Source organism: Homo sapiens, chromosome 17, assembly GCF_000001405.40.
Source record: "Homo sapiens chromosome 17, GRCh38.p14 Primary Assembly".
In the NCBI taxonomy this organism is placed as follows: domain Eukaryota; kingdom Metazoa; phylum Chordata; class Mammalia; order Primates; family Hominidae; genus Homo; species Homo sapiens.
In genome coordinates, this window is record NC_000017.11 from 16544104 (window position 1) to 16569268 (window position 25165).

The 25165-nt window shown below is 39.6% G+C and overlaps 1 protein-coding gene across 6 annotated transcripts, besides 2 other annotated features; it reads right to left on the bottom strand.

The window, feature by feature from the left end:
- Nucleotides 2851–25109, bottom strand: ZNF287 (zinc finger protein 287). Of its 6 annotated transcripts, NM_001346168.2 has the most exons (7): nt 24849–25101; nt 23940–24011; nt 23226–23826; nt 22422–22519; nt 19596–19722; nt 19043–19129; nt 2851–9323 (listed from the first exon to the last, which is right to left on the bottom strand). In NM_001346168.2, the coding sequence occupies exons 3-7, from the start codon at nt 23626–23628 to the stop codon at nt 7753–7755; spliced, it is 2286 nt and encodes a 761-aa protein (NP_001333097.1). In that variant the 5' UTR covers nt 23629–23826; nt 23940–24011; nt 24849–25101; the 3' UTR covers nt 2851–7752. The 6 variants fall into 6 exon arrangements, with proteins under 6 accessions (NP_001333097.1, NP_001333100.1, NP_065704.2 ...); NM_001346171.2 differs by lacking the exon at nt 23940–24011 and having other exon boundaries at nt 23226–23572; NM_020653.4 differs by lacking the exon at nt 23940–24011.
- Nucleotides 24164–24665: an enhancer, noted in NCBI's record as "H3K4me1 hESC enhancer chr17:16471581-16472082 (GRCh37/hg19 assembly coordinates)". NCBI's record gives its function as "activates a minimal SCP1, AML or CMV promoter by ChIP-STARR-seq in naive H9 embryonic stem cells {active_cell/tissue: H9 hESC(naive)}" and the evidence as "EXISTENCE:reporter gene assay evidence [ECO:0000049][PMID:30033119]".
- Nucleotides 24666–25165: an enhancer, noted in NCBI's record as "H3K4me1 hESC enhancer chr17:16472083-16472582 (GRCh37/hg19 assembly coordinates)". NCBI's record gives its function as "activates a minimal SCP1, AML or CMV promoter by ChIP-STARR-seq in naive H9 embryonic stem cells {active_cell/tissue: H9 hESC(naive)}" and the evidence as "EXISTENCE:reporter gene assay evidence [ECO:0000049][PMID:30033119]".

Sequence of the window (25165 nt, forward strand, 5' to 3'; positions counted from 1 at the left end):
TCATTCACAGACAATTGTTGTCCTGCTTTGTTCCTTTTCAAAAAATGGTTTATAATCAAGCTCTATTAAGGAGTTCAACAGGTGTTCTCAAATGCAGGTTTTTAATAGCTTTAAAGATTGTAACATTGGAATAGAGAGAGAATGTATGGGACTCACAAAGAACTAATATGTTCATAAATATCAAGCAAAACAAGAGTTAAGTAAATGGACTGCACTCAGAAAGTTAAAGCAGAGTTTTTAACTTTGCTTGGAATATTGCTGATCCTTGTTTTGTTTTTCAGAGTCAAGAAAAGTTTTAAACTATTTATGGCCTTTAATAATTGAGTAAGGTATACTCCTGTGAACAAAATTTGGAGCATATTTATTTGTCTCTGCCTGGTTCCTCTAGAATTTGGAGACTAGCTGTACTCTTAACTTAACGGCAATATAGCTCTTTGCATCAGTGCAATAAGAATCCATTTTTCTTTGTCAACAGGACACATTGGAAAAACTGGTTATTTTAACCAAGGCTTGAGGGTGTGTTTCCTTTTAAGGAATCAAGCTTGACATGCAGAGCAAATAAAAGCCCCTTGGGGAGAACTGGCCTCATACCTTGTCTGCACAGTCCCTGCACAAGATTCCTAACCTGTGGTCAGTAAAGAGTGTCACTTTCTAATAGGTCTGGGAGCTCCGAGTTTATCTTGGGGCCTCAAGAGGAGAGGATCACCCAACTCACAGGTATTTGAGGATACAAACCCATGGCTGGGCTTGGCTTTAAAAGGTCTTATCTGAGATTCCTTGTAGAACAGTTTCATCGAAGCCAATCCAAAAGGCCTGTGTAGAAATAACCTTTCTTGCTGCACTTTATGCAAACAATCAGGCCATGTATAGGACTAAAGTTTATTCTACAGACAACACACACGGGCCTATCATAATTTGTTTTTATCAAAAATGAGGACTGGAGAGAAAAACTGTGCTCCAAAGCTTATCATACATTTCTCCAAAACTTACTATACATTTCTCATTAAATCCTAGTCTCATCAATTGTTTTTAAGCTTTTTGCCTACATATTATACTAACTCTGCTTATTCCTGTGAATCAAGTGGTAATCCCCTACAGTTTGGAAGAAATAAAAAGGGATGGGTAATGTAAAAATCTGAATCAATATGCTAGTTCTGGGCAATTATCCTGCAAATTCTGCCAGTTAATGAAAGTGAGTATGATGCCCATTAACTCAGGTTTTTTTTTTTTTTTGTTTGGGAAAATAAAACCAAGGCTTCATAGACCACCAAAGGAAAATTCTGTATCTTGGCAAGTAAAATTTTACATGGAAGTTATCTACTACATCACACTTGTGGAAGTTGCTATACTCACTCTGCTATTTGCAAGAGGGTTATACGTGGTAGCACCTTCTAACTGACATATTGGACAGAGTTTCCATTGCTGTTGTATTTTGCTCAATTATTATCCTTATAGCAGGGATAATAGTTACTGACAAAAAGGAAGCATGAAAGTTTTACTATCACTGAGTCTGCTAGCACTTTTTATTGGGTTTAGTAATGATTAACACCTCTAGTAGAGGAAAATCTACAGGTACTTAAGAATGAAATCAAAATTATTAACAGGCTCAGGGAAAATGCCGGCTCCAGCCCTGGATGGCTACAATCCCTCTTTAATGAATTCCAATCTTCTTTATGGAATTGGTCAGCCCCTTTATCAAGCCCTCTCCTGCTTATATGTCTTGTATTGATATTTGGACCCTGTATACTCAGTACCATAACTCGAACTGTTTCTTCTCGCCTCAAAGCAGTCAAACTCCAAATGGTACTGCAAACTGAACCACATATGGACACGCCATTCTCCCGAGGACCCTTAAGTTGACCCTAGGAGGAGCCCTCACTGCTGTTCCCCATTTGACGCCCCTTTTCAGCAGGAAGTAGCCAGAAAGAGTCGTCGCCCAAAACCCCCTAACAGCAGATAGTGTGATATCACCACAGGGAGGAATGTGGTAGGAGTTATTAAGAAATTATTTTAGGCAGAGAGGCAAAGGGGTCCTTGGGAAGTTTTAGTTTTTTAAAGCATCTCCAGAAAAGTTTCTTGTAAAGCCCCGACTCTTACAGTCAGGCCATCAACCTTTGATATGCAAATGCAGGCCATTAGAAACTGGGTCCACCCAACATGTCAATTCCCACAGCCTTCTTGCCCTTGCCCCACATGTTCCTGGCAACATGGCCACCCCCACCTATCCCTACGTGTGTAGAACATCGTGGCGCCCCATATTTGCATATGGGTGGGAGGGCCAGCTCTTCCTCTGGCTATTTGAAGACATGCCTAGTCAAACCAATCCCCTGAGCCCTATGCAAATCAAACACTGCCTTCTCCAGCCTCTGTATATATACCTAGCTGGTATCCGTGGCAGGTGGGGACCTTCTCTTTCGGCTTTGGAGCCCCCTCTCCTGTCTCTGTACAGGTGAGCTGCTTCTTTCTTCCTTCTCCCTTCCTTCTAGCCCCTTCTTGCCTATTAAACTCTCTGCTCCTTAAAACAAAAAACAAAACAAACAACAAAAAAGAAACTCTATGGGAAAGAAGACAAAAACAGATTTAAAAAACTTTCAGTGCTCTAATCTCATAAAAATACATAATTCTATAAAATTGTAGGTACATACTCTTTGTACTCAGAATTTCCATTTAACATTATTTTACAAGAAGAACTCAACTAAGTGCTGGAGCTATGCGGTTCCAATCCTTATTCTGTCATTATATGACATATGGCCTCAAGCATGACATTTCAGCATCATGGGCTTCACTTTCCCCATTCATACACAGTGCAGGGCTCGATGCTGTTTACACACACGCATTTGTACATATCACTGTAGTGCACATGCTTGCCATTTTTAATGGTTATAGTGTTCTAAGGGGCTAATAATTATGAAAGATAGAGCCATGGGGAGAACAGAAACAGAGGAGTAAGAATACATTTTCGGGCACATGCAAGTGAACTGACACCAGAAGACAAAGAATGAAACATAACAGCCTTAAAGTTTTAGAGACCAAATAAAGGTTTAGTAAGAAAAACTAGTACTTAGATTTGCATGAAACAGATCCTTAGGATTAATATTTAGATCTTACCAGAAATCTGCCTTAAGAGATGTGATGGGAAAGGAGGGCTATTAGCTTATAAACACCGTAAGTTATAGACATATAATAGTTAAAACACAACGTATTAGGTATACATCTAGTTGCTTTCTTAATTGCCCTCTACTTAACCCACTTGGCAGATTAACTGACAAGTTCTATTCCCTTGTAAATTTCCTGATGGCATTGTCACAGGCCTTTTGCAGCTAATTTGCTGCTTTCTAGCATACATAACATGGAAGTGTTCTCTCCAATTTAGGTGCATGCTTAACAAGATTTAGTTGTTTGCACCCGAAAGTTTATCCCAGTTATGTAATTATATCCCTCATTACACAGATATTAGGTAACTGATGGCATGAGTGAAGAGTTGTCTTTATGAAAACCAACTTGAATGGTTGGAAAGAATTGCCAGTGACACTCCGGGAGCAGTGAGAATCCCTAGTGCCCAGATCTTGGTTTCTAAATAGCTACCTATTAAAAGGAGCCAGGGATTCTTGGAAAAAGGTTTCATTCCAGGCCTGGGGCATTGAAAATGCAAGGCCAACTTGAGATATCTTGTGTTAGAAGGCAATCAAGTGTCCAAAGACTAGAGAGTGAATGTCAAAAGGACATAAGAGATACTTGAAGGGCTCCACCTGGCCAAATTTGGGACAATCTGAACATCAGAAACAATGATCATAAATGACTTAACACATTGAATCATGTGTTATCACTGCAGATGAAAGCATCAAACTCTTTACTGGTAATTAAACTCCTACACTGGTAATTAAGGTAAAATAATTGCTGACTGTGCCTCTAGTGCATTCCTAGTTGATGAGGGAACATTATACAAGAATGCCACTCAACAAGTGTAGAGTGATAGAATTAGAAAATTGTCATTTTGCAAACATTGATGAGACAATGGATTCAGGCAACGATCACCGTTGGTTACTTTTTACCAGGTAAAAAGTTGTTGGCAATCAAAATATCCATGTGCTGCCAGTGTCAGTCCACAGATTAATTGCAATAGGAAAAACTACCTTTATATTGGGAAGATCTGGTGACCTCAAATGAGTGATCCATTGATAATGAGTCAACCTGATATTAATGAGACTTTTGATATGATGCACTATGAAATACATCTGTGAGGTGTTATCATTAAAAATGTTTAAACAACCCAATCAAGCCTTTTGCCCTAACTTCTAATTTATGGAAACTACAGGGGGTACCGGAACAACCCACATGTAAATAATCAGTTGAATCCTGAACATGAGACATTTTTCAAGACAACTGACCTGCTCTCTTAAAGAGGAAAAACTGTCCGGGCGCGGTGGTTCACGCCTGTAATGCCAGTACTTTGGGAGGCTGAGGCGGGTGGATCACGAGGTCAGGATATCGAGACAAGCCTGGCTAACACAGTGAAACCCCATCTCTACTAAAAAAATACAAAGAAATTAGCCGGGCGTGGTGGCGGGTGTCTGTAGTCCCAGCTACTCGGGAGGCTGAGGCAGGAGAATGGCGTGAACCTGGGAGGCGGACCTTGCAGTGAGCCGAGATTGCACCACTGCACTCTGGCCTGGGTGACAGAGTGAGACTCCGTCTCAAAAAAAAGGAAAAACCAAAGTGGGGACTGTTCTAGATAGATGAAACAGATAATCAAATACTATGTGTGAAAACTGACTGGATCAACAGAGGAAATTTAAACACAGACTAAGTCTTCAGATATTAGGGAATTACTATTTGTTTTTTTTTTAAAGGTATGTAAATGTATTGTGGTTATGTAAAAGACCATCCTTATTTTTGTAAGATGCATGCTGAAGTATTTAGAGATGAAATGTCATGTCTGTAAGTTACTTTCCAATGTTTGGTTAAAAAAAATACGGCAGAATGTTAGTTTTTAAATTTAGGTGGGTATATAGTTAATTTTATGATTTTTAAAACTTTCTATATATTTGAAAACTCATAATAAAAAGTTCTGGAAAATAAGGCTATTTGCTAAAAACTGTTGAATAATTTGCGGGTCAGACAACTGTAAAAGTGGGAAAAATACACAAAGATCTAGGGTTCTCCACTATTACTAGTCTGTTATTTTATAAGGGCATCAATTGCCTCTGTTTATCAGTGGAAGACTTTATAAATGCATTATTTACATAAAACATACAAAGGCAGGAAATAACAGAGTAATGCAAAGGAAGGCGCTATGGACTGTCACATGCCACATGCTCAACCAAGGGAAATAAGTGCTGTGTGAGGGATGAAGCAGCATCAAAAAAATAAGATTTTCAAACAACTGTTATTTTAAAAAACAGCTATATAAGCACAGTTTGAGTATTCTGCAACCTGTACTTTGTGCAGGATGATACTATGAAATCAAGGTTAACTAATGTAAGGGAAATGGAAATCAAGTTTTTTAAAGAAAACACTCAATAATATAGCCTTTAGGATACTAGCATCCTGGGTCTTTCCTTCAGTACCTGTTTGTAGGATGGTTTTATAAACAGTAATGTCCAAAGGAAGTTGCATGGTTAATACATGCTTAAATTGATATTTATAGCACCAGAATTGATACCAATTTCCCCTCATTTAGCTCAGGAAAACTTCCTGTACAAAGATGTCCCAGGAAACCTGATTCACGATTTTTAAGCAGTTCCCAAGTAAATGTTATTTGTTGAACATTTCTTTGATATATGCACAAAAATATTTTTCGTTATACCAATTTTCACTCCATGCCAGTCAATTCTACTTTATTACTGAAATCTAATTTATATAATTTATTCATTAATTCAACCATGTATTGACCATGCACTATTATGCAAGGGACTGGAGAAACAAGTAAGAGCACAATGAAATCTCAGTTCTCAGAATATGGCCTTATATTCTGGTAGTGGAATGCTGTAAATATGAAATACAATAGTATTTTTATCTATTTCTATTTGCATTTCTGCCAGTTTTCCTTTTGAGACCCACAAACCCAGTTATCATTGTTTAATGATTACTGCATCAATGCTTTTTCCAATTAAATTTTTTCCTGACATGTTAAGAGTAATCTCTGTTTTACTTGTATGTATGAAGGAGTGTCAGGCTTCCAATTATTCTTTAAAAATCGGTCATTTTGTTTTTAGTTTCTTCTAATAACCAGGCTGAATTCTTTTTTATTTAGCCACTCTCATTTCATAGGCAAAGCAAGTCCAATTACATTTCATGTTATAGCAATTATCTATGTATGTTTTCCTCACTCCACTAAAATTTCACCTTTTCCCCGACCCACATTCTGCAGTGAATTCAGATCTATTTTCCATTTTTTTCTCACATTATTTATATAGCTACACTATCACTTCCACTTCCTTCTCTTGGGATATAGGTAGCATTTGGCAACCCATTTTAGCAGGTTGCTTATGCTCAACCCATGACAAAATATCACATCCTCACTTTCTCATCACTCTAGAAATCTTTCTGTTGTGTAAACCACCTGTGATTTTCAGCACTGTAACAAGCTTGAGAGGATCCAATTAGGAAGTTTGGGACCTGAGCATAGTAGACACTCAAGAAACGTGTTTCAGTGGAAGAAATGAACTTTCCATAGTAAAACAGTCACAGAGAAACCTAAAGTATAAATTTAGGAGTCAGGTGAAAAAAATGGGAACTGTATACTTTATACCTACTTTTTTCCTTCAGGATGACCTTGAATGTCAAAACCTAGTGAAATCAAGGCTAATGTGTATTGAAAATTCATTTAAGCTTGAGGCATTTAATTTTTGCCTGTTTAACTAAATCTCTACACATCTAATGTTATATACACATTAGTTTCTATCATAACATATCTTTCATTAAGCTTCTCTTTAATATTTCCATATCTGAGGGAAGGTGTAACCAGTGGTCACATAGAAATCTTTAAGATACTTCCAACTGTTTTTTTTTCAAACCTACTGGCTCCATATGGCAGTTATGGCATAACAGGAGAAGGGGAAGTAAAACAGGGAAGGGAGTCCTTTACATATTTTAAGGCTTCAAAGCTGGGAATAAAAGGCCTGAAAGCAGCTTACTCTTTTCTGTAATTTTAAGATCACTCTCTAGTGTGAAATCTCTATTTGATGGACACCTTCCTAAGTTACACTCATAAGGCCTCATTAGGATGTACAGTTGACCCTTGAACAACACATTTGAACTGTACAGATCCATTTATACTGGAATTTTTTTTTTCAACTGAACAGAGTTTGAAAGCACATTATTCAGGGATGGGAAACCTGCATAGATGTAGGGCTTTTCATATACACAGGTTCCACCAGGCTGACCGTGCAACTTGAGTATGGGTAGATTTTCGTATACATGGGTGGTCCTGGAACCAATCCCCCGAGTATACCAAAGGATAAGTGTACTTGAAATAGAGAGTTGATGAGTTATGTTTTTGAATACCCTTCACAGGGTTTCTTTCTGTAATGAATTAAAATCATATCAAATTAAGGTTAAGAAGTCAAGTTTCCTTCTTAAATTTCACATTAAATCTAAATAGGTTATATCCATACCACTACTTCTGATACTTCTGCTGAGTATCTAACATATTGCACTTCTTCAGACTTCTTCTGAATGTTCTGACACATAGAATGCACAAAACAAAATTGAAACAAAGTTGTAAAACCGAATTGAAGTTTCCCTTATCCATTAATTACGATGTTTGGCACCTGTATGAACACGTTGATGCTGAATAAGGTTTGTACTCTGGGTGAAGGTTTTACCACATATACGACATGCATAGGGTTTCTCTCCTGTGTGAATTCTCTGGTGTTGAATAAGGCATGTTCTCTGGCTAAAATCCTTATCACATTCATTACATTTATAGGGTCTCTCTCCAGTATGAGTTCTCTGATGTTGATTAAGTGATGAGGAATAAATGAAAGCTTTCCCACATTCATTACATTTATAGGGTTTTTCTCCAGTATGAATCCTTTGATGCTGAGTAAGATTTGCGCCTTGTCTATATGCTTTCCCACATATATTGCATTTAAAGGGTTTTTCTCCATTATGAATCCTCTGATGTTGAGTAAGGTGCACACTCTGGCTGAATGCTTTCCCACACACACTGCATTTATATGGTTTCTCTCCAGTATGTGTTCTATGATGTTGAGTAAGATTTGCACTCTGGCTGAAGGCTTTCCCACATATATTACATATATAGGATTTCTCTCCAGTGTGAGTGGTTTGATGTTGAATAAGGGTTGAGGAATGAGCAAAGGCTTTTCCACATTCATTACATTTATAACACTTCTCTCCAGAATGAATTCTCTGATGTCGAATAAGGTAAGTACTCTGACTAAACACTTTCCAACATTCATTGCATTTATATGGTTTCTTCCCAGTATGTATTTTTTGATGCTGAAGAAGGTGTGTACTCTGACTGAAAGTCTTCCCACATTCATTGCATATATAAGGTTTTTCTCCAGTATGAACTCTCTGATGATTAATCAGTGATGAACTATGACTGAAGGTTTTACCACATTCCAAGCATTTATATGGTTTCTCTCCAGTATGTGTCCTTTGATGGATGGTAAGGTGTGCACGCTGACTGAAGTCTTTCCCACAGTCATCACACTTATAGGGTTTCTCTCCAGTATGAATTCTCTGATGTATAGTAAGGTGTGCACGCTGGCTGAAGGCTTTACCACACTGGTGGCATTCATATGGTTTTTCTCCAGTGTGCATTCTCTGATGTGCAATAAGGGATGAGATATGCCTAAACTCTTTCCCACATTCTTCACATTCATACGATTTCTCTTTGGCATGGGTACTTTGGTGTTTCAGGAGGGATGGGTATTTCCTAAATTTTTTCCCACACACATTACACTTGTAAGGCTTCTCTCCAGGAAGTATTTTCCTATGTACAATACCATATGAGACATGATTGAAGGTTGCCCTGCCTTCATTATACACAGAAGTTTTATTATCTAATTGGGTATCAAACTGTACAATTAGGTTTGAATGCTTTTCAAAATTATTTCTATATATATCATATTTACTAAGACATTCTTCTGTAGGATCATATTCTTGTGAAAGGACTGACTTCAAACTGAAACCTCTTTCATCAGTGTGAATTTTCCAGAAGCCACCTTTTCCTCGCCTCTCTAGTCTATCATCGTAGTCATATGAGTCTTCTAATTTGATGGTATGGGTTTCTTCCTTTGTGAGTTTAGACATATCCTCCACTGGAGTACATGCTTGGGCTTTAGTTTCCCATTCTGAAATAAAAAATATATTAAAAAATCTTCATTTATTTGGAGAAAGGAAACTGCCAAAATAGAAACAAAAGAATAAACATAGATAAAATGCCCAAAGACAACAGCTCTGAAAACCTCATCATCATGGTCTTTAAAACTTGGGAAAGGAGACAAAGAGGGCAAAAAAAGGGAGACTAAGTTGTTGAAAACAGACAGGTTCTTCATATTCAACATGGACACAGAGGGAATAAAACAGATTAAGTCAGGTGACAGAGCTAAGAGAAGTCAAAACAGTGATAACACTGTGTGGGATAACTTGGGATGGCCTCATGGATTAATTTATGTAATGTGTTCATAAAGTAGACATGCTGACTCTCATCACTCTCTCTTCCAATCTGCTCCACACAATCCCACATAATATTCCTAAAGCAATTTCACTGAGTGCTTTCTATGCTCAAATATCTCTAGTAAATCTCCCATGGCCTAAAACAATGGTTCTCAAGGCAGTCCTCCCAATAGCAGCATAAGCATCACTATCATCTAGAAATGTGTTAACATTATTGGGTCTCACCTGGACATACTGAATCAGAAACTCTGGCAGTAGAGCTGAGTAATCTGTTTTATTAAACCCAGCAGTTTTGCTACATACCAAAGTTTAAGGACTAGTGGCTTAAAGTATAAAAGTTAAAAAGTTTAAAATACCTCCACTTGGCACTCAGTCCCAAAATAATTCAGCCCTTTCTATTCTATTGTCTCCTACTACAACTCATGTTCAGCTTAATTTAGTTATCCACTACTTTTTTTTTTTTTTTTTTGAGACAGACTCTGTGCCATCTTGGCTCACTGCAACCTCTGCCTCCCAGGTTCAAGTGATTCTTGTGCCTCAGACTCCCGAGTAACTGGGATTACAGGCAGGAACCACCATGCCCAGCTAATATTTCTATTTTTAATAGAGACATGGTTTCACCATGTTGGCCAGGCTGGCCTCAAACTCCTGGCCTCAGGTGATCCGCCTGCCTCAGCCTCTCAAAGTGTTAGGGTTACAGATATGAGCCGCCACACCTGGCCTAAAGTTATCCACTACTTCTTCATAATCTTCTCTAGATGCCATGCTAATCCTAGACTCTAGGCCTTCTTTTACGATGCCTTCTCCACCTATTAAAAAAGATGTTTATAGTCCAGCTCATATTTCTCTCTACAATGCTTCTTTGAATTTAAAATACAGATTAGAGGCCAAGCTCTGTGGCTTACTCCTGTAATCCCAGCACTTTGGGAGGCCAAGGTGGGTGGATCACTTCAGGTCAGGAGTTTGAGAGCAGCCTGGCCATCATGGCAAAACGCTGTCTCTACTAAAAATATAAAAATTTAGACAGATGTGGTGGTGTGCACCTGTAGTCCCAGCTACCTGGGAGGCTGAGGCATGAGAATTGCTTGAACCCAGTAGGCGGAGGTTGCAGTGAGCCATGATCGCCCCACTGCACTCTAGCCTGGATGACAGAGCAAGATCCTGTCTCCAAAAAAATAAAATAAAACACAGATTAGGTTGAATTATGTAGGAAATTGCCTTTTTTTATAGGTCAAAATGGCTGAATGTCAGCAACCTTATATGGTTCAACCCAATATAGTATTGGGCTCATGACAGAATTTGGCTTTATATGAGTACAGTCATGGATTTCTTAACAATGAGGATACGTTCTGAGAAATGTGGTGTTGGTCGACTTCATCATTGTGTGAGCATCATAGAGTATACTTATATGAACCTAGATGATATATATGTATATATATTTTTTTCCTTTTTTAAATATGGAAAGCTAAATGTACCAGCACTATTACTGATATCAATCACTTCCCCTACTTGATCTGCAATACAAATATTAAGTGCTTATGCATCAGGCTTCTATATATGCTCCATTGTTGTCTTATGGGACCACTGTCATACATGCAGTTTGTTGTTGACCAAAACATCATTATGCAGCACATGACTGTAATTCACAATTCTGTACATTTCTTATATTTCCAACCTAGATGCAAATTCTGGAAATAGCTTATCCTTCTTTCACATTTCGTTTAGAAAATGGCCCAAGACTCTGGATATGGTGGCGACTCAACTGAAATGGTAAAATAAATGACATTAACATTTAAAAAGGAGAACTCAGATGAAAGCATACACAGATGTGCATGCATACACATAACCAAACACACACACACACACACACACACACACACACACACACACCCCAAACCAAACCAAAAAGGTTGACCCTCAATCTAACCTGGCTGTAATAAGGCAGCCAAATATGTATTTGTTGGTGCCTATTATTACGTTTCTCGTATAATTACTTAACACAAAATTTAAGTTACAACCTCTTTCTCCTTTGAAACCAGGTGGGAAACATATAACTTGCAAATATCAAGAATTACATAATGTAATTTAATCAAATATGGAATTTATAATATAGCAAAAATGGTACTAAATACTTCAGAAACTTTCTAAGAGGCAGATCATAGTATAATACCTTTACAAATATATCCATTCAATTGAGTAATATGCAGTAATTGAAAATGACAGCTACATCATCAGTAAGAGACTAGTTATTAATAGAATAAGGGATAACAGAATATTGATAACTGATAGGTAGGTCTAGTTTAAGGACTAGTGGCAGGACACATTAAGTGAAAAAAAAAGCAGGTGTATAAAAAAATGTAGAGCAAGATCCTAGCTGTGTAAAGATATGCTATTTGTGTTACAGACAGACACAGACACACACACACACACACACACACACAAAATCTAAGGGGAGAAGGTCCTGGTCATGACTGAGGGGAGAGGGACACTTAATATTTGCTTCCTTGTACTCCTTGAATTTACAAATTACTTTTTTTACTTTTATTCAAATACAAAATCACAGTTTACCTAAGAAAATGTTTAGGAGTAATGTTAAATGAAAAAAGAGTATCATAACAAGCATGAAAACACATCAGAAGTGGAAAAAGATTACCAAAATGCTAATAATGATATTATAAGTTTTCTGGTTTCTAATTTTCAGTAAATTTGCTATATTACTTTTGTTGCTATTTAGTACTAGTAAGTAGTTATATTCCACTCCAGTAGGTGTAGCAAAATAAAAAGTAATAAAAAAGAAAAATAGAAAATAGTTATATTACTTTTATGAAAGAAAAAAATTTATAAACCAACTTTCTCAAGCTAGGATTTGTTATTCCCCTCCCCAGAAGAAAATGAGAATGTGGATGGACTATACAAGTAGGTGTGTATATACACAAAAAAGAGATGAGATGATACCAGAAGTTGAGTTCAACTTCTATGCAATCAGTATCAGTCTATGACAGATTGTACATACAACTGAAAAGTACTAAAGTTATAATTAACAAACTTAAAGTGACAAGGCTGAATAGTGATCATGAATAAATTGCTACTATAAAAGCACTTTTTTTTTTTTTGAGATGGAGTTTCGCTTTTGTTGCCCAGGCTGGAGTGCAATGGCGCGATCTCGGCTCACCACAACGTCTGCCTCCCAAGTTCAAGCGATTCTCTTGCCTCAGCCTCCCGAGTAGCTGAGATTACAGGCATGTGCCACCACGCCTGGCTAATTTTGTATTTTTAGTAGAGACAGGGTTTCTCCATGTTGGTCAGGCTGGTCTCGAACTCCTGACCTCAGGTGATCGCCCGCCTCAGCCTCCCAAAGTGCTGAGATTACAGGCATGAGCTACTGCACCCGACCGATAAACGCACATTTTAAACAAATTAGTTTACTAAAACTTCTGAAACAGATCATTAAGCAGGGTTTAAATATGTGTTTATCACTAAAACCAGAAAGGATTGGTTAGAAGTGTTATCTGTTGGTTAATAAGGACAAACAGTGGTATAATATTTCTAAACAGAGGAGATTAATGTTGACTCAGGTAATCAAGGAAAGCTTCAGTGGAGGAAGTGTGATTTGAATTGAACCTCAAAGAATGGCAAAGTACTGTATAAAGAACAATAAACCATAAAATATAATAAAGAACTATAAAAGATCTGAGACAGTAATGGCCATCAAACCAATACTACTATTCTGTTTGTTAATTACCAAAGTTTCCATTTCCTGAAGTGTGACTAACCTACTTCCTGAAGTACCCTAACCAAAGGTAGATTCAACTTACTATATCTCTGAGCTGGCAAGAAAGCAAAATCCTCACAGGCCAAAAATTAAGTACAAGCAGGAAGGCAAGAAGTCAGTAATAGTTGAAGTTGACTGCCTGAGACAGCTCCTCAATCATGTTTGATGACCTTAAACTTCCATTTTGAGGGTACAAGGGACTCTGGGGCTAGAAGACAAAGGCTGGGGCCCAGCCAAGGAGAGGAGGCTGACAGGAGTCCCTTGAACAGAGGACTACACACTATGTAAGAACAGGCTAGGCTAGAAAAACAAAACCCCAAAACCTCACCTCTAAAAGATGAAAAAAGGAACTGTCTTTCTCAGTCTTGGTGCTCTTTGGAGGGAGAAAAATCCCCCCTCTCCAAATGCATAACTATACATTGCCCTTTCTTGAGTATTCAGAGCCCAAATTTGTGCTCTCTGATGATCTAAAAAACTCCTCATGTTGAGAAGTTAAAGTGACTTCAGACTGCAAGTATCTCCCAGAAGACTATCCTGGCTCTAATCCAGGCTTATTTCCATTACACTATGTATGTTTTCTCAGTGCCTAGAGTGTGCAGAATTTGTTCCCCAGAGAATTTAGTGTGCTGTAGGTGTATTTTGTATTTTGCCAACTAAGGCATATAAGGCCATAAATTATAGAGAAGAATTAGCTTTTAAAGTTTATGACCCTTAAAATACCTAATGACCAAAGTTAGTTTTTTAAAAAAGTGAAACAATTCACTCTAAGGTAGCATATCTTTTTTTTTTTCTTTGAGACAGTCTTACTCTGTCACCCAGTGGGAGTGCAGTGGTGTGATCTTGGCTCACTGCAGCCTTGCTCTCCCGGGATCAAGTTATCCTCTCACTTCAGCCTCCCTGGTAGCTGGGACTACAGTCATGCATCACCACAACCAGTTAATTAAAAAAAATTTTTTTAGTAGAGACAGGTCTCACTATGTTGCCCAGGGTGGTCTCAAATTCCTGAGTTCAAGTGATCTGCCTGCCTCAGCCTCTCAAAGTGCTGGGGTTACAGGTGTGAGCCACTGTGCCTGGCCATATCATATTTGTCATTATTGTTTAATTCATTGTTGTATACTAGCATCCATATTGGTGGACATACAAGAAGTCAGTGTCTTAGATTTAAAAAATGGAATGTCTGGGTGCTATGGCTCACACCTGTAGTCTCAGCACTGGAGGCCAAGGCAGGTGGATCACTTGAGCCCAGAAATTGAGACCAGTCTGGGAAACATGGCAAGACCCTGCCTCTGCAAAAAATACAAAAATTATCTGGGCGTGGTGGCACACACCTGTAGTCCTACCTACTCAGGAGGCTGAGGAGGAAGGATCACTTGAATGCAGGAGATGGAGGTTGCAGTGAGCCATGATCACACCATTGCACTCCAGCTTGGGTGACAGAGTGAGACTCTGTCTCAACAACAGCAATAAAATAAAATAAAATAATAAAATAAAATAAAAAATGGAATAAAAGCAAGATGCAAGAATATACATAGTATACTTCTTTCATATACAAAAGAAGATAATATATTAATAATTTATTTTTGCAAAGAGAAACATGGGAAGGATACATCAGAAACCAATGATCATGGTTACCTATAGGGAGTAGGTGGGAAGAGAGCAGAAGGAAAGGAAATGTATACCTTTCTATATAGTTTTTGAGTTCTCAGCCATGTTACTGTTTTTGCATACTCAAAAATGTAAATTAAAAATAATTTTAAAAAGCAAAAAAACACTATCCTTAGTGGTATATATTCTAAGGACAAAAAGGACTTCAAAGAAATCTTGAACTTTCTAGACTGTTTGTTATACTAATGTGAATGTGAAACTATTTTTGTGTGTAACATATGATATAGCAAATAAGTAAATATACTGATGTTGTTGGAAACCAGGTTATTCACTGTATAAGAAAGGAGATACAAAATGGAATATGGGAATATAAAAAATGGAATATCCTTGTGGTGTCAGATTTGAATTGGAGTTTAAGTATGAACTCCTGACTTAAAAGAACTAACACACACACACACACACACACACACACACACTTCCTAGCTCTATCCACTGAACAGAAGCAATGATACCCATAAACAGTGAATACGCTTATGGCCCAGATCTTGGTTTCTAAGTACCATTCCCTACTAAAATGAATCAGGGTTCCTTAGAGAAATCCCAAGTCTAAGGTGAGCATAAGGTGAGCCTAAAGAACATCTGGCTGTGCCAGAAAGCAAGGAAATGGTTGAAGACAAATTGGGACATGTCAAAAAGATGCTGGACTTTTGTTTGATGCTAGAGTGCCCAAATTTGGGACAATTGAGCATCAAAAACACAAAATAAAATGTAAAAACTGGAATTAATGGACTGATAATAAATACATACACATCCATATATATATATATATTTTTCTTTTTTCTGAGATGGAGTCTTTCTCTGTTGCCCAGGCTGGAGTGCAGTGGCACAACCTTGGCTCACTGCAATCTCCACCTCCCGAGTTCAAGCGATTCTTCTGCCTCAGCCTCCCAAGTAGCTAGGACTACAGGCACGTGCCACCACACCCAGCTAATTTTTGTATTATTATTATTTTTAGTAGAGACAGGGTTTTACCATGTTGGACAGGCTGGTCTCAAACTCCCGACCTCAAGTGATCCACCTACCTTGGCCTCCTAAAGTGCTGGGATTACAGGAGTAAGCCACCATGCCTGGCCGACTAATAATATATTGAATTTTTAAAATTTCCATTAGTCAACAGTGGTGTATATATATATATATATATATATGGGGTGGGGGAGGGAGAGCTCTTCTTTTTTTTTTGAGGTGGAGTCTAGCTCTGTTGCCCAGGCTGGAGTGCAGTGGCACAATCTTGGCTCACTGCAACCCCCGCCTCCCGGGTTCAAGTGATTCTCCTGCCTCAGCCTCCCGAGTAGCTGGGATTACAGGCACCCACCACCACGCCCAGCTAATTTTTGTATTTTCAGTAGAGACAGAGTTTCACTGTGTTGGCCAGGCTGGTCTTGAACTCCTGACTTCGTGATCCGCCCACCTTGGCCTCCCAAAGTGCTGGGATTACAAGCGCGAGCCACCGTACCCGGCTGAAAGGGCTATTCTTTAATGAAGAATGGTATTAATCATTTAGAAAAGATGACTGCATTAGAAAATCACCATTTTGGCTGGGCGTGGTGGCTCACACCTGTAATCCCAGCACTTTGGGAGGCCGAGGCGGGTGGATCACAAGGTCAGGAGATTGAGACCATCTTGGTTAACATGGTGAAACCCCGTCTCTACTAAAAATACAAAAAATTAGCTGGGTGTAGTGGCGGGTGCCTGTCGTCCCAGCTACTTGGGAGGCTGAGGCAGGAGAATGGCGTGAACGTGGAAGGTGGAGCTTGTAGTGAGCCAAGGTCCCCCCACTGCACTCCAACCTGAGCAACAGACCGAGACTCCGTCTCAAAAAAAAAAGAAAGAAAATCACCATTTTGCAGCTGGGCACGGTGGCTCACGCCTGTAATCTCAGCACTTTGGGAGGCCAAGGCGGGTGGATCACCTGAGGTCAGGAGTTTGAGACCAGCCTGGCCAACATGGTGACACCGTCTCTACTAAAAATACAAAAACTAGCCGGGTGTGGTGGCACATGCCTCTAATCCCAGCTACTGTGGAAGCTGAGGCAGGAGAATTGCTTGAACTCAGGAGGCAGAGGTTGCAGTGAGAGGAGATCACGCCACTGCACTCCACCCTGGGCGACAAGAGTGAAACTCCATCTCAAAAACAACAACAAAAAAGAAAATCACCATTTTGCAACCAGCAATATAATAACGCAAAGATCATCAAATGGATGCTAAAAATTTTAAGTAAAAGATTATCAAGGAATAGTCATGTGACCTCAAAGTATCACTCCACAGATGACTTATTAATCACAAAGAATGCACCTTTAAAAAGGACAGATCCTGTACACACCACCTTAACCAAACTGAGCATCACCAATGATGAGATGAATTACCATTATGTACCTCCTGAAGAAATGCAATGGAAGATACACATCACCTTTCAAATATCCTTGGCAAAATGTTTAAACTGACTAATCTTTAGGAAACAATGAGGCAAATCTAAACTGTAGGTCATTAAAAAAACTGGCTTGGAACCTTTAAAAAATGTCAATATCATGAAAGACTTTTTTTAAAAAAGAAAAAAGGCTGGGCAACATTTCTCTGTTAAAAGGGACTAAAGATAGGAGACATGCAAGTAGAACACGTGATTCCTGACTGGATTCTGTACTGGGGAGAAAAATATCTATAAAGGATGTTTTTAGGACAGTTGGGAAAATCTGAATATTTGACTATACATTTGATGACACTATTATATAAATGTTAATTATCTAGAGTGAGAGAATGGTATCATGCTTATGTAGAAGAATGTTCACGTTCTTAGGAGGTATTTAGGGGTTGTCTTGATGTCTATAACTAACTGTAAAACGGCTCAGTGCAAAAACCTTTGTATAGAGATATAGCAGAAGTGGCTAAATGATGATAATTAGTGATTCCCAGTAGACAGTACATAAGTGATGAATGTAATGTGCCTGTGTAGGTTTAAAATCTTTTAAAATCAAGTTATTGTGGAGGAATAAGCAAGGAATGAGAATGAAAAAGTCCATGAATAAGGAACAAGTTCAATAATAAAAATATGATGCAGATATAAAAAAAGAAATGAGGAAGCTCTTTACATACTCATTTGGAAGGCTTTTCAAGATATACTTTTAAGTTAAAAAAGCAAGGTACAAAACAGTATGTATTGTATGCTACCATTCACATTAAAAATGGACAAAAACTATTTTTATATTGACTTTATATGCAAAAAACCCAAAGCAAAATAAACATCTCAAATAACTGTTTATTGCCACGCTTTTATCCTGGAGACAACAGTTGTTCAAACTTTATTACCTGACTTCTACTTATGTGGAACTTTATTACAGACTTCTACAGGAAAACAGTGGTTCATTGACATGCTGTTATGACAGCGGTCACATGCTGGGGAGATGTAGGAACTGGGTGAATGTGGTATTCAGGTGGACATTTATATATATTTATATATTTTTTTTGCTTTATATACTTTTAAACATTTTGAATCTTGTGAATATATTATCTTTTTAAATAATTAGAAAATAAAAAAGAAAGGGATGATTTAGAAAAGTGAAGGCAGGGGGATGTAGGGATTTGTCAGTGAACAGAATAAAAGAAACTCAAAAAGAAGAAGGTTTAACATTTAAATTTTTAGGGGGCATTCATACATGTTTAAATCTAGAGGAAGGGGAAAGTGGCACAATGAAAGCCCTAGACAAAGCTCTTAAGAGATGGGACCTAGAGGTCATGTAGAAGGATAAAATGAGAAGAGACACGGGAAAAGTGTGTTAACAGTGATGTTAGGAAGCTCTTCCTGAAGAGGCCTCTGTAAGGAAGCAATGCCAAACAGCTCAGTGTTCTTCACAGGCTAGAATGCCTTTGCAAAAAGTGACCTGGTCATATTTAAAATGCATTTCTCACCACATTTAGGATATAGATTCTTAAATACAAAGAAGCTCATGCGCTTTTTGTTTCTCACCTGGACTAGGGCCTTCTAAAATTTCTTTTATCACCATCCATGGTTCTTCCAATATGGGAATCACAGTTGGTCTGTACACTGTAAGTCCTGTTCAGGAGGAATATAAAGAATTTTATCCTGGAGATAAATGGTTGCTCAAAGTTTTATTACCAGACTTCTACCTATCTGGGAGAACAGACCTCTGTAGGAAAACAATAGTTCATGGACATGATCTAATAAGAGAATTAGGCTGTTGATTGTTATCCTTTCAGAGACAGGATAACAATTTCCTGCCACTGAAGAGGATATGTGAAGGAAGAAACATTCCCTTAGAGTAGCAAAGGCTGGGCAAGGCAGCATCAGGTGGCAGCACTATGAAGCTGTGCATCAGTTGCCAATGTTCTCTCACTTAAGAACCTTTCATTTGGAAAACGGGAGTAAAACAGTCACTTTCGTGCTTGAATGAGATAAGAACATTTATTTCTGGACCCCATTTTTAGCCAAGCATGTCTGAGGACCAACCCATTTTTAATGGGAACAGGCTCGGAGGAGGAGGGATGCAGATGATCCTTACCCAGAGAAACCATGTTCCAATAGTTCTGTAACGTCACAGTCTTGTATAATTCCTTCTGCACAGGACGCATTAACTCCCAGTCCTCCTGGGTGATGTCTACAGCCACATCTTTGAATGTCATCGATTCCTAAAATATCAAATGTAACTTAACTCAGTTCAAGAACTAATGGCAAAGGGGACACTGATAACACTGGGTATATGTATGGTGGGGGACTGTCACAGAATTTTAAGCTTTAGTAGGATCCTAGAAGTTGTCTAGTCAAAACCCTCCCCTGACATATGGACAGCCCTACAGCATCTCTCCATGACCCTAAACGGAAGTTTGAAAATAGATCAGAATTTATTTTCACTTAGCACTCATGCATGCATTGGTGGCAGCTCCATTTTAAACAGAAAAGGTTTATCATTACTATTTTTAAAAGAGACAGAGTCTCGCTCTGTTGCCTGTGCTGGACTAGTGCATGCATTGCTGGCAGCTCCATTTTTAAAAGGAAAAGGTTTATTATCATTATTTTTAAAAGAGACAGGGTCTTGCCTGGTCACCTGGACTGGAGTGCGATGGTACAATCATTGTTCACTGCAGCCTCAAACTCCTGGGCAGAAGTGATCCTCTCACCTCACCCTCCTGAGTAGCTAGGACTACAGGCACACACCACCACATCTGGCTAATTTTTAATTTTTTTTTGTAGAGATGGGGTTTTGCTATGCCACCCAGGCTGGTCTCAAACTCCTGAACTCAAGCGATCCTTCACCTCAGCTCCCCAAAGTGTTGGGATTACAGGAGTGATCCACCAGGCCTGACTTGAGTTTTAAATTTTAAACACAGATGACACAGTTGAATGGTTTTGCTTTTCAAGCTGTGCTTTAAGAATAAATCCAACATGTTATAATTAAAATGTTAAGATATTTTTATGTGTTCTATGGTTAAATTCAGTCTTTCTTTTTAAAAATATAACAGATACCAATAATCACAGTGTTGAACTGCTGCACTGTTAAATACATTTCACAATCTGGTAAGGTTAGTGCTTTTCTTGTTTGCTCCTTTTGTTAAAAATATAGTATTATCTTACATGTTTCTTTTTTCTCTTTTTTTATTTGAGAAAGAGTCTTGCTCTGTCGCCCAGGCTGGAGTGCAGTGGCCTCCTGAGTAGCTGGGATTACAGGTGCACGCCACCATGCCCAGCTAATTTTTGTATTTTTAGTAGAGACAGGGTTTTGCCATGTTGGCCAGGCTGGTCTCCAAACTCCTGACCTCAGGTGATGCAGCTGCCTTGGCCTCCCAAAGTGATAGGATGACAGGTGTGAGCCACTGCGCCTGGCCACGTGTTTATTTTTTCATATAATTGTCAGTATCTTTAAAAAAGTCATATTGGAGGCCAGGCGCAGTGGCTCATACCTGTAATCCCAGCACTTTGGGAAGCCAAGGCAGGAGGATCACTTTGAGGCCAGAAGTTTAAGACCAGCCTGGGCACATAGTGAGATCCCATCTCTTAAAAAATCTTTTCTTTTAAATCATACTGGGATTTAAAAATTGTATTAAGTTTATAACTTAGGGAGAACTGATGACTTTATAATATTCAAGGTTTCTTTCATGTTCTACAAAATATTAGACATGAAAGTACTGCAATATTTATATTATGCTTAGTTTTAGATATTTTAAATTTTTTTCGGGGGTGTGATACTGGAGGCATTTTTTTCATTTTATCATTTATCTCATTTTTATATGTATATATGTAGATATATATATAAGTATATATATGTAAGTGATTGATTTTTGCATGTCATTTTCTGTAGTCATTTTATCCAATTTTTCTATTAGTGTTTCTAACACTTTTTCCCTTGATTTTGTTAGGCTTTCCAGGTAAATGTTCACACTATCAATGAATAATCATTTTAACTTGGTTACCAAAAGCTTTCCAATTTCAGAAAAACCAGTTATATTTTTACAGTAAATCTTTCTCTTAAGGTATCTTGAGTTACTATTCTTTAAAATAATATAGACTCATGGCCGGGCGCGGTGGCTCACACATGTAATCCCAGCACTTTGGGAGGCCAACACGGGTGGATCACCTGAGGTCAGGAGTTCAAGACCAGCATGAGCAACATGGCGAAACCCTGTCTCTACTAAAAATACAAAAATTAGCCAGGCATGGTGGCATGCACCTGTAACCCCAGCTACTCCAGAGGCTGTGGCATGAGAATCACTTGAACCCAGGAGGTGGAGGCTGCCGTGGACCAAGATCGCACCACTGCACTCCAGCCTGGGCAACAGAGTGCGACTCTGTCTCAAAAAATATATATAAATTCATGACCAACAGTAATATGACAGAATGCATGGCCTTTAACTACTTGTTAATGAGGAAAAATAATAGTAACAATCATCTATTAATTGCTTAACTGTAATCCAGGCTAACTACAAGTCTCATAATATTTAATACTCACAACCTAAGAGGTAAATTCTATTTATGAGAGTAGAATAACTCAGGCTAAGAGAGGTTAAGTATCTTGTCCCAAATTGCAGTTCCAATGGTAGAGCCGGGAAACAAAACCTAAATCCATCTGGCTGTGGAGGTCAATCTCGTATTCTCTATGTGATATTGCTGACAAAGTCAAAGTAAGGAAAGACATATCAAGGGAAGGCAATGGAAGCACCTTTTCTTTATAGTACATTCACCTACCTTAACAGACCAAGATAACATAGGAGAGAAACTGGGGCTTAAGTCCTTGATAGAGCTTCTGGGGGCACAGTAGTTATAGGGCCAGGTCAGAAAATGTCCTCACACACTAAGAAGGCATTTTAAAATCAGAAAAGACAGTCACACTCACTTTGGTCACCAAGTCATTTAGCCATCCTGTCTGGAAAGCATGTTTTCCTCTGGGGTCTTCCTCTGGGGTATCTTGGGAAAGGGTAGAGTTTTGAGGAGCTAGAGAAGAGAAAGAGGTCATGAGGGAGATTAGTCCTTTCTGAATAGCCTAGGAAACCCCTCACCAAATAGATGCCTACACTTTCTTAAATCGAGAAGTAAGAAGGAAATCAAAAACAGCACTCCTACTTCAAAGCATCAGAGGAAAGGGCCAATGACTTGTCCTAAGACATCAAAACAGACTTCAAAAACAAGCTCGCTCTAAAAATCTTAAAGAGTATGAACAAAATTCACATTTTAACTAAATCCTTATGTGATATTAATTTTGTGAGTTATCTCTTAATAAGGGAATGTTCTCTAGACCCTTTCTTCCTTTTTTGGAAGTATTTTATTGTAAAATTCAATTCACAAAGCAAATGATTTATTAGTAGAATGGTGCAAACCTCTGAAGGTACTTTCTGAGGGCTCACACAGTGGTAATTTGGTTGCGTCTGGTCATTATTTCAAGACGTTTTTCTTGGGGGTTTAGATAATGTGTGTTTGCTCCCAAGCAATCTGGAAGGAGAACACCATGCAGGATGGAGCTCATGTTAAAGCCTTGTTCTCACTCACTAACCTTTGTTCTCCCCAGTTTCTTTCTTTTTAAAAAATGCATCCTGGACCTCTCAGTGCTCTCCCTGATTTCTTTAAAGGAGCTGCTCAGATGTGCTAGTTGTCTTCTTTAACCACCCAGGGATTCCTCCCCTCTCTGCTCTATGATTCTCACCTTCCTCTTCTAGAATCTGAGTCAAATCCTCCACCAGAGTCACTGCTTCCTCGCTGCTCTCTGGATACTGGGACTTTACCCAAGTCCTAACCTCACCAGGCAGGATGGTCAGGAATTGCTCCAGCACCAGCAGCTCCAAAATTTGTTCCTTTGAGTGAATCTCAGGTCTCAGCCACTTAAGGCAGAGCTCTCGGAGTTGACTCAATGCCTTTCGAGGACCAGCCAGGTCTGGGTATGGAAAATTCCTAAAATTCTGTCGACAGGTCTCAGTGTCACGCAAGAATCTTGAAGTAAGGATTTCCTTCTCAACATTGTAGGGTCCACTCTGAGCCTTGTCTGACTTCCACCTTAGAAGGATTTGAGAACGTGAAGAACTGTTCATCCTCTTGCTTGAGGCTAACATTGCTACAGACAGGAGAGTCAATCTGGCAATATCCTTTATTTCTCCAGTAGTGAGCCAACTGCTTGAAGTCTCATGCTAGAGTCACAAGGACACTATATCAAAGGCTGCTGCAGCCGAGGGCAGAACAGAATCAAGGTAGAGTTAGCAGCCTTAGTGACAAATTCTGAGCCCAGAACTTGCAGGGATGGATAAGAGACCCTGAAACACAAGCATGGACCACAAGGTCAAGAATCCCTGGTGTACTCTACTATACATATACACACACAGAAACAGACTCGCAGTGTGCATAGATGAACACACATAAGCTTTACCTTGTCTTCCTCCCCTATATCCTTAGACTTGTAAGGGAACTGCCATCTGCTTGGGGTTGGTGGGGGATGGAGCTGCTATTAAAAAGGTAGTGTCAGAGGCAATGACTCGAATCTAAGCCAAACAACAGATTAAACCTCTAACCTGTTGTAACAAAAATTAAACATTTTTATAGAGAAAATAGTTTCATTATTTTAGTCACTGATGTTACAGAAGCTGTAATGACTGAACGGACTCTCAACAATAACAAAGTGAATCTGTTACTTGGAAGAAACTAGGAGAATTTCTTCTTAATACAGTGCTCAAGGTTCCCAAGGGAACTGTCAGGGGAAAGGGCGAGCCATTTATCTGCGTTGCATGTTAATGCCAGCCGATTCTAGCCTTTCACTATCAGAGGGTTGGGAAGACCAGCGGGTTGGACTGGAAAAGAGTGAAGAGGTTGGTGTGACTTCAAGTCCTTTAAGTGCTTCTATAGGAGACAGTTCTTTAGGGATATATTCGAAACCAGGATTCTCGAAGGAAACCTTAGAACCGGCCTGATCTGGAGGAGAACCGACACCACCTCTCCCCAGGCTCCAGCTCCGAGCCCTGCTGAGGCACAGTCGTGCCACCAAAGACAACTGTTTACAAGGCCCTGCGGAGGTGATGCGACAGCCTTGCCTTGCCTCCTGTCGCCTCCCCTTCCCGGCCAAGTCCCTCTGCCTCTTACTCCTCTTCAGCCGCAGGGTCGAGGTCGAGGGCAGCGGGGGAGTCGGGGACCGTGCGACGCGCAACGCTGGGACTGGGCCCACAGCAGCCTCCACCCCGTCTTTGCCCTCCCGCAAGCCACGAGCACGGGAGCCCGCGCGTGGACGGGCTCGGGCTGTCACTGATCGCGCGGACACTCGCGCGCTGCGCCCGGACATCAATACCTGTCGCTGGGACCCGGCCGACGGGCAGCCGGAGCGGCCCTAAGGCCACAGGCAACAATGGCGACGCTGGCACAGGCGCCTGCGTGGCGGGCTCAGTCCCGAGCGGCAGCGGATCCTCGGGCTCCGCCACTTCCCTTCCCCGCAAAGCACAGAGTGTCCCGGCCAGGAGCTGCACGTTCCAGCCCGGTCCTGAGAAGCCCGGCCCAGAAACCCCGGCGCCTCTGCTTAGCCGCGACCTCGCCTCGGCGTCACTGCGCATGTGCGCCAGAGGAACGCTGCGCGCCCGCAGAGCCAATCGGAGCCCAAGCTGCCGCCTC

What these genes read in the sequence shown, in the direction of transcription:
- ZNF287 (NM_020653.4), bottom strand. Translation starts at nt 23,628, where the DNA reads ATGTTAGCCTCAAGCAAGAGGATGAACAGTTCTTCACGTTCTCAAATC. An exon ending in TTGGAACATGGTTTCTCTGG is followed by an intron (nt 19,130 to 19,595) that starts GTAAGGATCATC and finishes CCTCCTGAACAG; the next exon opens with GACTTACAGTGTACAGACCA. An exon ending in TTTAGAAGGCCCTAGTCCAG is followed by an intron (nt 9,324 to 19,042) that starts GTGAGAAACAAA and finishes TTTTTATTTCAG; the next exon opens with AATGGGAAACTAAAGCCCAA.